The 18,826-nt window shown below is 41.8% G+C and overlaps 1 pseudogene; it reads left to right on the top strand.

Moving 5' to 3' along the window:
- KRT8P31 (keratin 8 pseudogene 31) lies at positions 4,937-6,664 on the top strand (annotated as a pseudogene).

The raw sequence follows: 18,826 nt of genomic DNA, 5'->3' as shown, positions 1-18,826 counted from the left end.
GACTTTCCCAGGAGTCCCACACAACAACTTCCACTTACATCTCAATGGTCAAAACTGCCTCATGGCCATTTCTGGCTGCAGGAGAAGCTGTGAACTAATTTTCTAGATGGGCACATTGTCATCTCCAACAAAATTAGATTCTATTAGTAAGAAAGAAGGTAAGATGACGTTTGAGTAAGCACCTGATGTAACCTCACCCACTGAGAATCCATCACCATGATGGGCCATTATTTTGCACAGAAGTACATATAATTCTTCAAGTGTCTAAATGGAAAAGTGATTGAACACTCTTATTTAGGGCCAGCACTGTGCCTGGCATCAGCAAATGATTAAATCATTACTTCTGGATGAATATATATACACATAAGTTATATATAATGTATTATATATAATAGATTCATTCAAAATGATTGATACACTAATATAATTTAAAATATATAGTCTATATATTATAATTCAGTGTATATATTTAGCATATATTTTTCCATCAGTATACTATTTGTATAGCCTTTGTTATCTTTATATAAATAGTATTGTTGTTTCTCAAGCTGTTACAGTTTGTCTATTATTGACTAACAAATCACCCCTAAATTTGATGACTTACAGCTACATCAAGGCTACATCTCTTACCACTTTGAAGGATCAATGATTTGAGAAGCCGAGTGGTTATTGTTTGGGGTCCCTGGCGCAATTGCAGTCAGACTGTGGCTTAACCAGGAACCAGGAGGTTGAGGCAGTGGGGGATGGCTGGAGATCTCTGTGTAGTCTCAAGTCCTCTCTGTGTGGTCTTTCCCCTTGGGCTACTTTGAGCTTCCTCACAGCATGGCAGTCTCAGGGAAGTCAGACCAAAGGCTTCAGGAGTAAGCATTCCAGTGAACAAAATGGAAGCAGTATTGCCTTTTATAACCTAGCCATAGAAGTCAGGGAATATCACTTCACCTGTACAAAAGCCCACCCATTTTCAAGAGGAGAGGACACAGACCATGTCCCTCAATGGGAAGAGTGTAAAAGCTACCTCGTAAGTACATGTAGGATGGGAGAAATATTGTACTTGGAAAATACAGTCTGCCACACAAAGTATTACCTAAAATAGACAGGAATACTTATTTTTCTCTTTAGAAGAGTTAAAGCCTATCTTTAATTCACACAGTTCTGGTTTGTATTGACTAGTTCTGTAGGTGAAAGTAAGTGCCGTTTTATTTTTTCACTAAGAAAGTGGCCCCTTGCACAGAGAAATAGACTCAGATTTGAGTGTGGAGTTTAAGGTAGGTCCCTAGATTAAATGAGAGCAAGGGTTATGGTTCTCTTTGTTTCAGGCAGCATAAGATACATGATGATTGGGGACGGGGTGGAGATAGAAATTCCTCCAGATGTTTCTAGCAGATACAACCACAATATAACAGGACACAAAACATGTCTTTTATACCAGGCTGCCCCAGAGAGAGGGCCAAAGGGCTCTTACTTTCCTGGCACTGGCTGGGCATGTTCATACTTTTTATTGACAGCCAGTATCAGGTCAGGCTGCACATGTACCTATAACTCAACAAAGTTACAAACTATAACACTCTTCAAATCTAAATATGAACATTTTTGCCTATATTCAAACTACAGCATTATTAAAACATTGCTGCACCTTGTTTGTATTCTAGGACCTACAGGATTCAATTAGTTTGGGATGTACTCTGGTTACTAAAGGGAGAAAGCTTGATATGAGGTAAGTATCTCTAAGTGCCCAGGCCACACAAAAGGACACTCTGTACATAGTCCTTACAACTTAAATAAGAATGATATAAGCATCTGAGTATTTGAATGTGGAGATGTAAACTCGGAGCTACTGTGTTCCTTTTATTTTTTTTATAAGAGATGGGTCTTCCTCTGTTGCCCCAGCTGGAGCACAGTGGCACCTTCATAGCTCACAGTAACCTCACACTACTGGGCTCAAGCAATCTTCCTGCCTCAGCTTCCGGAGTGGCAACATGCCTGGATAATTTTTTTTATCTTTTGTAGAGACGAGATCTTGTTATGTAGCCCAGGCTGGTCTTGAACGCCTAGCGTCAAACGATTCTCCCACTTCAGCCTCTCAAAGCACTGGGATTACGGACAGGAGCCCTCTTGTGCCTTCTATCTTAAAAGTTGCACAAATTCTGGTCAGTGTGTCTTTTGCCCATTTTGGGTTATCTTGCCCATGAAAGTATGCCTTTCTTTTTATTCTTGTGGCAACCCTCCTTGTTCAGACCCGAATAATTTTTCCTAGATTATAATATTATCCTAGATTATAATATAGTCTAGATTATATTATAATAATATTTGCCTAGATTATAATATTATTATATTATCCCTGTATAAAAAGCCTTTCATCCTACTAGATGCTGTCATGGAGAGGAAGCGTGGTGCACTGGTTGGGAGCACAGGCTCTGGAACCAGCCTGCCTGGTCAAATCCTGACTCTGTTTCTTGCTAGCGCTATAACCTGGACAGCTTCTCTGTCTCTTAGTGTCCCAACTGAAAATGGAAACAATACTTCTTTATCCAGTTATTGTGGGATATTAGATGAGTTAAAACAGGGAAAACTTTTAGAGCAGTGCTTTCCTTCCAGTTATTCAGGCTAAAAACCTCAGAGTCATCCTCAGGTCCTTTCTGTCTCACTCAACGCCAAATCCAACAAGAAATCCTGCTGGCTTCCTCTCAAAGTATAACCAGAATCTGACCAATCCTGGGCCCTTATCATCTCATGCCGGGATTCCTGGAATAGCTTCCTGTGTGACTCTCTGTTTCTGCCTTTGCTTCCCTAAAACTTCTTGTCCAAATAGCAGCCAAAGTCATCTCTTAATATAAATCAGATCATGTAACTCTTTTATTCCGAACCCTACAGTGGTTTCTGGTTTCACTGAGCGTAAAAACCCTGTCATTGCTTCTCTGTCCTCACCGCCTACCAATCCCCACTTTGTTCCCTCTGCTCCAGCCACACTGGCCTCCTTGCTGGTCACTGGACCATTGTAAGTGCATTTCCATCTTAGGGTTCTTCATTTATTTTTCTCTGCCTAAGGGACTGTTCCCAAAATAACTGCTTGGCTAAACCCTTCAATTCCCTCCTTTGTTCAAATCTCACTTTTTCAGTACTGCAGCCTGCACCCTCATCTTTCTTTTTCCTATACAGCACTTATTACCTTCTAACATGCTATACAATGCATTTAGTTACTATTAATGTTATTTATTGACTGTCTTCCTCATGAGAAAGTAATCTCTTCAAGGGTAGATGATTTTGTCTATTTTGTTCACTGCAAGTGCCTAGAACAATGGCTGGCATATTACGGGAGTTCAATAACTGTTGTTGAATGAATGAATGAATGAACGAAGCACTGAATAAGTATGTGCTATTGTTATAAATTCTCTTCCTCTGCTCACTCTTTAGTGGTTTAGTCAATCATTCAACAATTTGTTAAACTCCTACTATATGCCAACTGCTGTGCTAGAATATAAAAATGAAGTCAAATAATACCAATCCCCACAGAGATTTTCGCTTGGATAGAGGGCAACAAACATGCAAACAAGTCAAGTCAGATATTCTGCTGTTAAACAAATAGTTTTTGTTTGTTTGCTTGTTTGTTTGTTTTGAGACGGAGTATCGCTCTGTCATCCAGGCTGGAGTACAGAGGCGCAATCTCAGCTCACAGCAACCTCTGCCTTCCGGGTACAAGCAATTCTCCTGCCTTAGCCTCCTGAGTAGCTGGGATTATAGACACCTGCCATCATACCTGGCTAATTTTTGTATTTTTAGTAGAGACAGTAGAAACTGGACCTTTTCCTTATACCACATACGATGGACTAAAGACTAAAATGTATACCCCCAAACTATAAAAACCCTGAAGGACAACCTACGTAATACCATTCTGGACATGGGAACAGGCAAAGATTTCGTGACAAAGATGCCAAACGCAATTGCAACAAAAGCAAAAATTGACAAATGGGATATAATTAAAGAGCTTCTGTACAGCAAAAGAAACTATCAAGAACATAAATAGACAGTTTATAGAATGAGAGAAAATTTTTAGAAACTATGCATCTAACAAAGGTCTGATATCTAGCATCTATAAGGAACTTAAACAAATTTATAAGAAAAAAAACATTAAAAAGTGGGCAAAGGACATGAACACTTTTCAGAAGAAGACATACATGAAGCCAGAAAGCACATGAAAAAAAGCTCAACATCACTGATCATTAGAGAAATATAAATCAAAATCACAGTGAGATTTCATGTCACACCAGTCAGATGACTATTATTAAAAAGTCAAGAAATAAAACAGATGCTGGCAAGGTTGCAGAGAAAAAGAATGCTTATACACTGTTGGTGGGAGTGTAAATTAGTTCAACCACTGTAGAAAGCTATGTGGTGATTCCTCAAAGAGCTAAAAACAGAACTACCATTTGATCCAGCAATCCCTTTACAGGGTATATACTGAAAGAAATATAAATCATTCTATCATAAAGACACGTGCACACGTATGTTCACTCCAGCACTATTCACAGTAGTAAAGACATGGAATCAACCTAAATGCCCACCAATGGTAGACTGAATAAGGAAAGTGTGGCACAGATAACGCCATGGAATACATGCAGCCATAACAAAGAACAAGATCATGCCCTTTGCAGGAACCTGGATGGAGCTGGAGGCTATTATCCTTAGCAAACAACATATGTTCTCACTTATAAGTGAAAGCTAAATGATGAGAACACATGGACATATAGAGGGAACAACAGACACTGGGGTCTAAGGCTGAAGTCTGGGAGAAGGGAGAGGATCAGGAAAAATAATGAAAGGGTCTAGGCTTAATACCTGAGTGATGAAACAGTCTATGCAACACACCCCCGTGGCACAAGTTTACCTGTATAACAAACCTGCACATGTTCCCTTGAATTTAAAATATAAATAAATAAATACCAAGAAGCAGCTTGTCCTCTCCTTCTGGAATCTCTGCCTGGTTCAGGCCACCTGCCTCCACTCCTGCCTCCACCATGTCCATCAGGATGACCCAGAAGTCCTACAAGGTGTCCACCATGTGGGCCCGGTGCCCGCATCAACTCCTCGAGCTTCTCTTAAGTGGGCAGCAGCAGCTTCCGGGGTGGCCTGGGCAGAGGCTTTAATGGGGCCAGTGGCATGGAAGGCATCACCGCTGTCACGGTCAACCAGAGCCTGCTGAACTCCCTTAACTGGAGATGGACTCCAGCATCCAGGAGACCACACCCAGGAGAAGAACCAGATCAAGACACTCAACAACAAGTTTGCCTCCTTCATAGACAAGGTACAGTTCCTGGAGCAGCAGAACAAGATGCTGGAGACCAACTGGAGCCTCCTGCAGCAGGAGAAGATGGCTCGGAGCAACATGGACAACATGTTTGAGAGCTACATCAATGAACAACTTTAGGTGGCAGCTGGAAACTCTGGGCCAGGAGAAGCTGAAGCTGGAGGCGGAACTTGGCAACATGCAGGGGCTGCTGGAGGACTTCAAGAACAAGTATGAGGATGAGATCAATAAGCGTACAGGGATGGAGAATGAATTTTTCCTCATCAAGAAGGATGTGGATAAAGCTTACATGACAAGGTAGAGCTGGAGTCTCTTCTGGAAGGGCTGACTGAGGAGATCAACTTCCTCAGGCAGCTGTATGAAGAGGAGATCCAGGAGCTGCAGTCCCAGATCTCGGACACGTCTGTGGTGCTGTCCATGGACAACAGCCGCTCCCTGGACATAGTGTCATCGCTGAGGTCAAGGCGCAGTACTAGGAGATCGCCAACCGCAGCTGGGCTGAGGTTGAGAGCATGTACCAGATCAAGTATGAGGAGCTCCAGACGCTGTCTGGGAAGCACGGGGATGACCTGCGGCATACAAAGACTGAGATCTCCCAGATGAACTGGAACATAAGCCGGCTCCAGGCTGAGACTGAGGGCCTCAAAGGCCAGAGGGCTTCCCTGGAGGCCGCCATCAGAGATGCCGAGTAGCGTGGGGAGCTGGCCGATAAGGATGCCAACGCCAAGCTGTCTGAGCTGGAGGCCGCCCTGCAGTGGACCAAGCAGGACATGGGCGGCAGCTGCGTGAGTACCAGGAGCTGATGAACGTCAAGCTGCCCTGGACATCGAGATCGCCACCTACAGCTGCTGGAGGGCGAGGAGAGCCGGCTGGAGTCTGGGATGCAGAACATGAGTATCCGTACGAAGACCACCAGCGGCTATGCAGGTGGTCTGAGCTCGACCTATGGGGGCCTCACAAGCCCCGGCCTCAGCTACGGCCTGGGCTCCAGTTTTGGCTCTGGTGCGGGCTCCTGCGCTTTCAGCCGCACCTGCTCCATCAGGGCCATGATTGTGAAGAAGATTGAGACCCACGATGGGAAGCTGGTGTCCGAGTCCTCTGACGTCCTGCTCAAGTGAACAGCGGAGGCGGCAGCCCCTCCCAGCCTGTCCGTCCTGCGGCTGCCCCAGAGCACGCGAGGGAGGCGGCTGTGCAGGGGAGCACAGGGAATGGGAGACCCACCTGAGGCTCAGCCCTAGCCCTCAGCCCACCTTCAGGGGAGTTTCCTGCCTGGGGATCCCCCATGCCCATGTCTCCAGCTACAAAACAATTCAATTGCTTTTTTTTTTTTATGGTCCAAAATAAAACCTCAGCTAGCTCTGCAGAAAGAGAAAGAAAGAAAGAGAGAGAAAGGAAGGAAGAAGTTTTTAGCCTGTACAATGAAGGGACAGAAAGGAGAAATAGCTCTATCTGGGCTGTGGTAGGACTTAAGCAGAGACTTTAAAGGGGAGATAATATCAGCTGCCTCATGAACAATAAGGGGATGTTTGCCAGACAGAAAATGAGGGAGAAGAGTGTGCCCAACAGGTAATTCCAGATGAGAAAAGGAAAGAAACACCCTGGCCTAAGCTTGAGGGAAATGTGAAAGGTGAGCCCAGTGTTTCGGCTTTAAGAGTGCAGGACCAGGAGGGATGGGAGGGGCCGGGTGAATGGTGAGTTTGTGGTCAGAGAAGATGCTTGATGTTATTTTTCCCGAATGTTTTAAGATGCGTTTTGTAATATAACATATGGTCTATTCTTGAGAACGATCCATGTGATGAAGAAAAGAATGTGTATTTTGCAGCCGTTGGATGAAATATTCTGTAAATATCTATTAGGTCCCTTTGTTCTGTAGGGCAGATTAAGTTCAACATTTCTTCACTGATTTTCTGTTTGGAAGATCTGTCCAATCCTGAAAGTGGAGTGTTGAAGTCTCCAGCTAATATTGTATTGGGGTCTATCTCTTTCTTTAGCTCTCATAATATTTGCTTCATACATCTGGGTGCTCCAGTGTTGAGTGCACATATATTTACAATTGTGATATCCTTTTGCTGAATTGACTCCTTTATCATTCTATAATGACCTTCTTTGTATCTTCTTATAGATTCTGTCTTGAAATCTATTTTGTCTGATATAAGTATAGCTACTCCTGCCCTTTTTTGGTTTCCCTTTGCATGGATTATCTTTTCTCATCGCTTTATTTTCAGTCTGTGTGTGTCATTACAGGCAAAATGTATTTCTTGTGGGCAACAGATCGTTGGACATTATTTTTTTATTTATTCAGCCACTCTATGTCTTTTAATTGGAACGTTTATTCCTTTTACAGTCAATGTTATTACTGATAAGTAAGGACTTTCTTCTGTCAGTTTGTTATTTGTTTTCTAATTGTTTTGTAGTCTCTCTTCCTTCCTGACTTCCTATTAGTGAAAGTTATTTTCTGTGGTGGTATGTCTTAATTTCTTTCTTTTTCTTTTTTTTTTTTTTTTTTTGCATCTGTTGTATACTTTTAGATTTGAGGCTACCACGGGGCTTCCAAATACTATCTTATAACCCTTTTGTTTTATTTATTTATTTATTTATTTATTTATTTATTTATTTATTTTTTGAGACAAAGTTGCTCTTATCCCCCAGGTTGGAGTGCAATAGAGTGATCTCGGCTCACTGCAACCTCTGCTTCCCAGATTCAAGCAATTCTCCTGCCTCAGCCTCCCGAGTAGCTGGGATTGTAGGTGCCTGCCACCATCACCAGCTTTTTTTTTGAGACAAAGTCTCACTCTGTTGCCCAGGCTGGAGTGCAGTGGCGCAACCTCTGCTGCCTGGGTTCAAGCGATTCTCCTGCCTCAGCCTCCTGAGTAGCTGGGATTACAGGCACCTGTCACTGTGCCTGGCTAATTTTTGTAGTTTTAGTAGAGACAGGCTTTCACCATATTGGCCAGGCTGGTCTTGAACTCCTGACATTGTGATCCACCTTCCTCGGCCTCCCAAAGTGCTGGGATTACAGGCGTGAGCCACCGCGCCCAGCCTTAATTTTTGTATTTTTAATAAAGATGGGATTTCATCATGTTGGCCAGAATGGTCTTGAACTCCTGACCTCAGGTGATCCGCCTGCCTTGGCCTCCCAAAGTGCTGGGATAACTGGCGTGAGCCACTGCGCCCGGCCATAACCCATTATTTTAAACTGATGATAGCACTGATTGCATAAGCAAACAAAGTAACAAGCAAAAAGAAAACTAATAAAAATTCTACACTTAACTTCATTTCCCTACTTTTTAACTTTTTGTTGTTTCCATTTATATCTTATTATACTGTGTATATCTTGAAAAGTTATTGTAGTTATTATTTTTAATTGGTTCATCTTTTCATCTTTCGATTTAAGATATGAGTACTTTACATATCACAATTACAGCATTATAATATTCTGTGTTTTTCTGTGTAGTTACTATTACTAGTGAGTTTTGTGCCTTCAGGTGACTTATTGTTTGCTCATTACCATCCTTTTCTTGAAGATTGATGAACTCCCTTTAGCATTTATTGTAGGACAGGTCTGGTATTGGTGAAATCCTGTGGCTTTTGTTTTTCTAGGAAAGTCTTTGTATCTCCTTCATGCATGAAGGATATTTTTGCTGGATATACTATTCTAGGATAAAAGTTTTTTTTTTTTCCTTCATCACTTTAAATATGTCATGCCACTCTCTCCTGGCTTGTAAGGTTTCTACTGAGGAGTCTGCTACCAGATATTTTGGAGCTCCATTGTATGTTATTTGTTTCTTTCCTTTTGTTGCTTTTAGGGTCCTTTCTTTATCCTTGACCTTTGGGAATTTGATTATTAAATGCCTTGAGGTAGTCTTCTTTGGGTCAAATATTTTTGTACTTGAATATTAATATCTTTCTCTAGGTTTGGGAAGTTCTCTGTTATTATTCCTTTGACTAAATTTTCTACTCCTCTCTCTACCTTTTCTTTAAGGCCAATAACTCTTAAATTTGTCCTGTTGACGCTATTGTGTATATCTTGTAGGTGTGCTTTATTCATTTCTATTCTTTTTTCTTCTGTCTCCTGTGAATGTGTGTTTTCAAACAGCTTGTTGTCAAGGTCAGTAATTCTTTCTTCTGTTTGATCAGTTCTGCCATTAAGAGACTCTGATGCATTCTTCAGTGTCTCAATTATATTTTTCAACTCCAGTATTTCTGCTTGATTCTTTTAAATTATTTCAATCTCTTTGTTAGATTTATCTGATAGGATTATGAATTCCTCTTCTGTGTTATCTTGAATTTATTTGAGTTTCCTCAAAGAGCTATTTTGAATTATCTGTCTAAAGGTCACATGTCTCTATCTCTCCGGGATTGGTCGCCAGTGTATTATTCAGTTTATTTGGTGAGGGGATGTTTTCCTGGATGGTTTTGATGTTTGTGGATGTTTGTCAGTGTCTGAGCATTGAAGAGTTAAGTATTTATTGTAGTCTTCACAGACTGGGCTTGTTTGTACTCATCCTTTTTGGGAAGGCTTTCCAGGTATTTGAAAGGTCTTGGGTGTTGTGATCTAAGTTTTTCGTCACTGCACCTGTGGTTCTTGCAGACTCATAGAGGTACTACCTTGGTGGCCTTGGATAAGATCTGGAAGAATTTTCTGGATTACCAAGTAGAGACTCTTGTTCTCTTCTCTTACTTTCTCCCAAACAAATGGAGTCTCTTTCCCTGTGCTGAGCTGCCTGTAGCTGGGAAAGGGGTAACACATGGACCCCTGTGGCCACCATGACTGGGACTGCACTGGGCCATACCTGAAAGCAACACAACCCTAGGTCTTGCACAAGGCCCACTGTGACTACTACCTGGCTACTACCTATGTTTGCTCAAGCCCCTAGGGCTCTACAGTCAGAAGGGGTGAAGCCAGCCAGGCTTGTGTCCTTCCCTTCAGGGCAGCTAGTTCCCCTGGGTCCCGAGCAGGTCCAGAGATGCTGTCTAAAGGCCAGGGCCTGGAGTCAGAAACCTTAGAACTCAACCTACTGCTCTATTCTGCTGTGGCTAAGGTAGTACCAAAACCACAAGACAAAGTTCTTCCCACTCTTCCCTGCCCTTTCCATAAGCAGAGGTATCTCTCCCTGTGTCCACCACCACCACAGATCCACAGGGAGTACTGCCAGGGTGCCAACGATGTTCACTTAAGGCCCAAGGACTCTTCAGTTAGCTTGTGGTGACTGCTGCCAGGCCTGGGACTCATCCTTCAGGGCAATGACATCCCCTTTGGCCCAGGGTAGGTCCAGAAATGCTGTACAAGAGCCAAGGCCTGGCATCAGGGACCCCACAGCCCTGCTTGGTGCTCTACCCCAGGGTGGCCAAGCTAGTACCTAAGCTGCAAGACAAAGTCCCCTTTATTTTTCCATCTCCTTTTCTTAATCAGAAGGAGTTTCTCCCTATGGCCATCACAGCTGGGAATATGATGGGTCACACGTGACACTAACACATGTTAGTCTCATCCAAGACCCATGGCCTGTACTACTTGGTTACTCTGCTGATTATTCAGGGCGCAGCCTTCCATCAGCAGGTCATGAATCCTGCCAGGACTGGGTTTTTTCCTTCAAGGCAGCAGTTTCTCTTCTGGCCCAGGGTGTGTCTAGGCATGTCATCTGGGAGCTAAGGCCTGGAATGGGGGGCCTCTCAACTCTGCCCGGTGCCCTATTGTAATATGGCTGAGCTGGTATCCAATTGCAAGACAAAATCATCTTTAAGAGTTGTAAGCTACAGTGCCTGAGTTTGTGAGAGGGGTGGTGCATAACTGCCTAACTGCCCTGGCTAGTGTCTTACTAGGTTGCATGCTACCCAAGTCCATTGGCTCTGAGCCCACCTAGCACAGCACTCAGACTTGCCTGGGAGTTGTAGTCCTTGTGGCCTAGACTTCAAGTTTATTTAGTTCCCTAGAGCACTTTAACCTGCAGTGGCGAGGCTTGCTGAAACTCATGTTCTGACTGTTGGCATGTGTGGTTCCCCTTTAGCTAGGGCTGGTCTGAATGCTTCTGCCGTGGACATTGGCTGAGTTCTGCCTAATATTGACAGCACTGAGTTCCAATGCAAAGTTTCACAATCGCTATGTTCTCCCTCCCTAAAGTGCACAGATTCTCTATCTGCACCACATGGCTGCTACTGGGGAATGGTGGAGGGGTGGTGTTGGTGATTCACGGTTGTCTTTTCTACCCTCTTCAGCACCAGCACTGTGACCATTCATCTGATTTTTGGTTCTTATGAAGGTGCTTTTTTGTTCTTATGAAGGTGCTTTTTTGTGTAGATAGTTATTAAATTTGGTATTCCTGTTGGGAGGACGATGGCTTCTGTTTGGCTGTCTTGCTCTGCCTCCCCAGGATATGTTTTTATGGCTGAAAAGAGCCAGGTAGCAAACATGGACACTCACTTATAATCAAAGGCAATGTGAGCTAATATGGAAAAAGAACTTAGCTGTATAGATAAATAACTTTTACTGTGATACATGAAATAAGAAAATGGGACAGAGTATTATCATGGTTTAAAAGTAGACAGATGGGTGGGATTCTTCCCTATTATGAGAGCTACATTTCAATCTTTTCCCTGTAATTAGTTGATGATTAAATAACATATCGATCTTTCACAGTCTGTCTTTTTCTTGTTTTTACAATTAACAAACTGTTTTTAAAATAAGACAGAAACATGTAGTTTAGGTGTTTAAAGACAGTAGAGGGTGGAGACGAGGTCTTGCTGTACTGCCAAGGCTGGTCTTGAACTCTTGGCTTCGCGGGATCTCCTGCCTCAGCCTCCCAGAGCATTATAGGTGTGAGCCACTGTGCCTGGCCTAGAATTTCCTCTCCGTGTGTGTGTGTGTGTGTGTGTGTGTGTGTGTGGGTGTGTGTAAGGCCAAATAGTACTGTATATAAATACTACTTTTTTTTTTTTTTTTTTGAGATGGAGTCTCACTCTGTCACCCAGGCTGGAGTGCAGTGGCATGATCTCGGCTCACTGCAACCTCCGCCTCCCCGGTTCAAGCGATTCTCCTGCCTCAGTCTCCCGAGTAGCTGGGACTACAGGTGCTTGCCACCGTGCCTGGCTAATTTTTTTATTTTTAGTAGAGACGGGGGTTTCACCATGTTGGCCAGGCTGGTCTCGAACTCCTGACCTCAGCTGATCCACCCACCTCAGCCTCCCAAAGTTCTGGGATTACACACGTGAGCCACCGCACCCGGCCATAAATACTACATTTTAAAATCCATTCGACATTAGGGATCGTGACAGATAGGTGGCAGGACTAGATTGCAGCTTTGACTCGGACGGACAGAGCAGCATGTGGAGGAACCAGAACGACTGCAGGAATAAATCAGGAAACCCGAGAGGACCCACAAACCCTCTGAAGGAAGTGGATTGTTCCTGCAGGACCTGGGAGACACCCCAAACACTGTTCTGGTATTCACGACTGAGAGACCCACAGAAGGTTCACATCACAGGACTCTGCGCAGACAATCCAGTACCAGCCCAGAGCCTGGTAGACTTGCTGGGTGGCTGGATCCAGAAGAGCGATAAAAATCACTACACCTTGGCTCTCAGGAAGCACATCCATAGGAAAAGGGGGAGAATACTACATCAAGGGAACAGGGAAACAAAAGAATCTGAACAACAGCCTTCAGCCCTAGACCTTTCCTCTGACAGAGCCACTGGTTCCAAGTGAGAAGGAACCAGAAAGCCAACTCTGGTAATATGACAAAACAAGGTTCTTTAATACCCCCCAAAATCACACTAGCTCATCGGCAATAGATGCAAACCAAGAAGAAATCCCTGATTTACCTGAAAAAAATTCAGGAGGTTAGTCATCAAGCTAATCAGGGAGGCACCAGAGAAAGGTGAAGCCCAATGTAAGGAAATTTTTAAAATGATACGAGAAGTGAAGGGAGAAATATTCAATGAAATAGATAGCATAAAGAAAACAATCAAAACTTCAGGAAACATTGGACACACAGAAATGCAAAATGCTCTGGAATGTCTCAGAAACAGAATCAAACAAGTAGTAGAAAGAAATTCAGAACTCGAAGACAAGGTCTTCAAATTAACTCAATCCAACAAAAACAAAGAAAAAAGAATAAGAAAATATGAACAAATCTTCCAAGAAGTCTGGGATTATGTTAAATGACCAAACCTAAGAATAATCAACATTCCTGAGGAAGAAGAGAATCTGAAAGCTTGGAAAACATATTTGGGGGAATAATCGAGAAAACTTCCCCAGCCTTGCTAGAGACCTAGACATCCAAATACAAGAAGCACAAAGAATGCCTGGGGTATGTATCACAAAAAGATCATTGCCTAGGCATATTGTCATCAGGTTATCTAAAGTTAAGACAAAGGAAAGAATCTGAAGAATTGTGAGACAAAAGCACCAGGTAATCCATAAAGGAAAACCTATCAGATTAACAGCAGATTTCTCAGCAGAAATCCTACAAGCTAGAAGGATTGGGGCCCTATCATCAGCCTCCTCAAACAAAACAATTATCAGCCAAAAATTTTGTATCCAGCGAAACAAAGCTTCATATATGAAGGAAAGATACCGTCTTTTTCAGATAAACAAATGCTGAGAGAATTCACCACTACCAAACCACCACTACAAGAAACTACTAAAAGGAGCTCTAAATCTTGAAACAAACCCTGGAAATACATCAAAACAGAACCTCTTTAAAGCATAAATCTCACAGGACATATAAAACAAAAATACAATTTAAAAACAAAAAACCAAGGTATACAGACAACAAATAGCACAATGAAAGGAATGGTAACTCACATCTCATACTAACATTGAATGTAAATGGCCTAAATGCTTCACTTAAAAGATACAGAACGGCAGAATGTGTAAGAATTCACCCCCCAACCATCTGCTGCCTTCAAAAGACTTACCTAACACATAAGGACTCACATAAACTTAAGGTAAAGGGGTGGAAAAAGACATTTCATGCAAATGGACACCAAAAGCGAGCAGGAGTAGCTATTCTTATATCAGACAAAACAAACTTTAAAGCAACAGTAGTTTAAAAGGACAAAGAGGGACATTATATAATGATGAAAGACTTGTCCAAAAGGAAAATATCACAATCCTAAACATATATGCACCTAACACTGGAGCTCTCAGATTTATAAAACAATTACTAATAGACCTAAGAAATAGATAGGCAGCAACACAATAGTAGTGCAGGACTTCAATACTCCACTGACAGCACTAGACCGGTCATCAAGACAGAAAATCAACAAAGAAACAGTGGATTTAAACTATACCCTGGAACAAATGGACTTAACAGATATATACAGAACATTTCATCCAACAACTGCAGAACATACATTCTATTCAACAGCACATGGAGCTTTCTTTTATTTATTTATTTTTGGTGTTTTTTTTTTTTATTATACTTTAAGTTCTGGGTTACATGTGCAGAACATGCAGTTTTGTTACATAGGTATACATGTGCCATGGTGGTTTGCTGCACCCATCAACCCATCACCAACATTAGGTATTTCTCCTAATGTTATCCCTACCCTAGCCCCCCCCATCCCCCACAGGCCCCAGTGTGTGCTGTTCCCCTCTCTGTGTCCATGTGTTCTCATTCTTCAACTCCCACTTATGAGTGAGAACATGCGGTGTTCGGTTTTCTGTCATTGTGATAGTTTGCTGAGAATGATGGTTTCCAGCTTCATCCATGTCCCAGCAAAGGACATGAACTCATCTTTTTTTTATGACTGCATAGTATTCCATGGTGTATATGTGCCACATTTTCTTAATCCAGTCTATCATTGATAAGTGCCGCAATAAACATACGTGAGCATGTGTCTTTATCGTAGAATCATTTATAATCCTTTGAGTATATGCCCAGTAATGGGATTGCTGGGTCAAATGGTATTTCTAGTTCTAGATCCTTGAGGAATCACCACACTGTCTTCCACAATGGCTGAACTAGTTTACAGTCCCACCAACAATGTAAAAGTGTTCCTATTTTTCCACAATCTCTCCAGCATCTGTTGTTTCCTGACTGGTTTTTTTTTTTTTTTTTTTTTTTTTTTTTTTTTGGAGACAGAGTCTCACTCTGTCACCAGGCTGGAGTGCAGTAGCACGATCTCAGCTCACTGCAACCTCCACCTCCCTGGTTCAAGTGATTCTCCTGCCTCAGCTTCCTGAGTGGCTGAGACTACAGGCATGCACCACCATGCCCAGCTAATTTTTGTATTTTTATTAGAGACGGGGTTTCACCATGTTGGCCGGGATGGTCTCGATTTCTTGACCTCATGATCTGCCCACCTCGGCCTCCCAAAGTGCTGGGATTACAGGCGTGAGCCACCGCACCCAGCCATTTCCTGACTTTTTAATGATCACCATTCTAACTGGCATGAGATGGTATCTCATTGTGGTTTTGATTTGCATTTCTCTAATGACCAGTGATGATGAGCATTTTTTCATATGTCTGTTGGCTGCACAAATGTCTTCTTTTTAGAAGTGTCTGTTCATATCCTTTGCCTATGTTTTGATGGGGTTGTTTTTTTCTTGTAAATTTGTTTAAATTATTCGTAGATTCTGGTTATTAGCACTTTGTCAGATGGATAGATTGCAAAAATTTTCTCCCATTGTATAGGTGGCCTGTTCACTCTGATGATAGTTTCTTTTGCTGTGCAGAAGCTCTTTAGTTTAATTAGATCCCATTTGTCAATTTTGGCTTTTGTTGCCATTGCTTTTGGTGTTTTAGACATAAAGTCTTTGCCCATGCCTATGTCCTGAATGGTATTGCCCAGGTTTTCTTCTAAAATTTTTATGGTCCTAGGTCTTACATTTAAGTCTTTAATCCATCTTGAGTTGATTTTTGTATAAGGTGTAAGGAAGGGGTCCAGTTTTCTGCATATGGCTAGCCAGTTTTCCCAACAACATTTATTAAATAGGGAATCTTTTCCCTATTGCTTGTGTGTATCAGGATTGTCAAAGATCAGATGGTGGTAGATGTGTGGTGTTATTTCTGAGGCCTCTGTTCTGTTGGTCTGTATATCTATTTTGGTACCAGTAACATGCTCTTTTGGTTACTGTAACCTTGTAGTATAGTTTGAAGTCAGGTAGCGTGATGCCTCCAGCTTTGTTCTTCTCGCCCAGGATTGCATTGGCTATGTGGGCTCTTTTTTGGTTCCACATGAAGTTTAAAGTAGTTTTTTCCAATTCTATGAAGAAAGTCATGGTAGCTTGATGGGGATAGCATTGAATGTATAAATTACTTTGGGCAGTAAGGCCATTTTAACGATATTAATTCTTCCTATCCATGAGCATGGAATGTTTTTCCATTTGTTTGGGTCCTCTCTTATTTCCTTCAGCAGTGGTTTGTAGTTCTCCTTGAAGAGGTCCTTCACATCCCTTGTAAGTTGGATTCCTAGGTACTTTATTCTCTTAGTAGCAATTTTGAATGGGAGTTTTCTCATTATTTGGCTCTCTGTCTGTTATTGGTGTATAGGAATGCTTGTGATTTTGCACATTGATTTTCTATCCAGAGACTTTGCTGAAGTTGTTTATCAGCTTAAGGAGATGTTGGGCTGAGACAATGGGGTTTTCAAAATATACAATCATGTCATCTGCTAACAGAGACAATTTGACTTCCTCTCTTCCAATTTGAATACCCTTTATTGCTTTCTCTTGCCTGAGTGTCCTGGGCAGAACTTCCAATATTATGCTGAATAGGAGTGGTGAGAGAGGTCATCCTTATCTTGTGCTGGTTTTCAAAAAGAATGCTTCTGGTTTTTGCCCATTCAGTGTGATATTGGCTGTGGGTTTGTCATAAATAGCTCTTATTATTTTGAGATACATTCCATCGATACCTAGTTTATTGAGAGTTTTTAGCATGAAAGGCTGTTGAATTTTGTTGAAGGACTTTTCTGCATCTATTGAAATAATGATGTGGTTTTTGCCGTTGGTTCTGTTTATGTGACGGATTACATTTATTGACTTGCGTATGTTGAACCAGCCTTGTATCCCAGGGATGAAGCCGACTTGATCGTGGTGGATAAGCTTTTTGATGTGCTGCTGGATTCGGTTTGCCAGTATTTTACTGAGGATTTTTGCATCGATGTTCATCAGGGATATTGACCTAAAATTCTCATTTTTAGTTGTGTCTCTGCCAGTCTTTGGTATCAGGATGATGCCAAAACTCATAAAATGAGTTAGGGAGGATTCCCTCTTTTTCTATTGATCAGAATAGTTTCAGAAGGAGTGGTACCAACTCCTCTTCGTACCTCTGGTAGAATTTGGCTGTGAATCCATCTGGTCCTGGACTGTTTTTTGATTGGTAGGGTATTAATTATTGCCTCAATTTCAGAACCTATTATTGGTCTATTCAGAGATTCAACTTCTTCCTGGTTTAGTCTTGGGAGGGTATATATGTCCAGGAATTTATTCATTTCTTCTAGATTTTCTAGTTTATTTGCATACAGGTGTTTATAGTATTCTCTGATGGTAGTTTGTATTTCTGTGGGATCAGTGGTGATATCCCCTTTATCATTTTTTATTGTGTCTATTTGATTCTTCTCTCTTTCCTTTTTTATGTGCCTGGCTAGCAGTCTATCTATTTTGTTGATCTTTTCAAAAAACAGCTCTGGGATTCATTGATTTTTTTTTTTTTTTGAAGAGTTTTTTGAGTCTCTATATCCTTCAGTTCTGCTCTGATCTTTGAATTTGTTTTCTCTTGCTTTCTCTCCTGCTTTCTCTTATGGGCGTTTGTTGCTATAAATTTCCCACTGCACACTGGTTTTGCTGTGTCCCAGAGATTCTGGTACATTGTGTCTTTGTTCTCATTGGTTTCAAAGAACATCTTTATTTCTGGTTTCATTTTGTTATTTATCCAGTAGTCATTTAGGCGCAGGTTGTTCAGTTTCCATGTAGTTGTGCGGTTTTGAGTGAGTTTTTAAATCCTGAGTTCTGATTTGATGGCACTGTGTTCTGAGTGACAGTTTGTTGTTATTTCTGTTCTTTTACATTTGCCGAGGAGTGTTTTACTTCCAATTATGTGGTCAGTTTTAGAATACGTGTGATGTGGTGCTGAGAAGAATGTATATTCTCTTGATTTGGGGTGGAGAGTTCTATAGATGTCTATTAGGTCGGCTTCGTCCAGAGCTGAGTTCAAGTCCTGGATATTCTTGTTAATTTTCTGTCTTGCTGCTCTGTCTAATATTGACAGTGGAGTGTTAAAGTCTCCCGTTATTATTGTGTGGGAGTCTAAGTCTCTTTGTAGGTCTCTAAGAACTTGCTTTTTGAATCTGGGTGCTCATGTATTGGGTGCATGTATATTTAGGATAGTTAGCTCTTCTTGTTGCATTGATCCCTTTACCATTATGTAATGGCCTTCTTTGTCTCTTTTGATCTTTGTTGCTTTAAAGTCTGTTTTATCAGAGGCCAGGATTGCAACCCTCTTTTTTGTTGTTGTTGTTGTTGTTGTTTTGTTTGTTTGTTTTTTTGTTTTCCATTTCCTTGGTAGATCTTCCTCCATCCCTTTA

Source organism: Homo sapiens, chromosome 5, assembly GCF_000001405.40.
Source record: "Homo sapiens chromosome 5, GRCh38.p14 Primary Assembly".
Taxonomy (NCBI): domain Eukaryota; kingdom Metazoa; phylum Chordata; class Mammalia; order Primates; family Hominidae; genus Homo; species Homo sapiens.
Note: the sequence above shows the minus strand (reverse complement) of the source record. Positions and strands in the feature narration are given on the sequence as shown.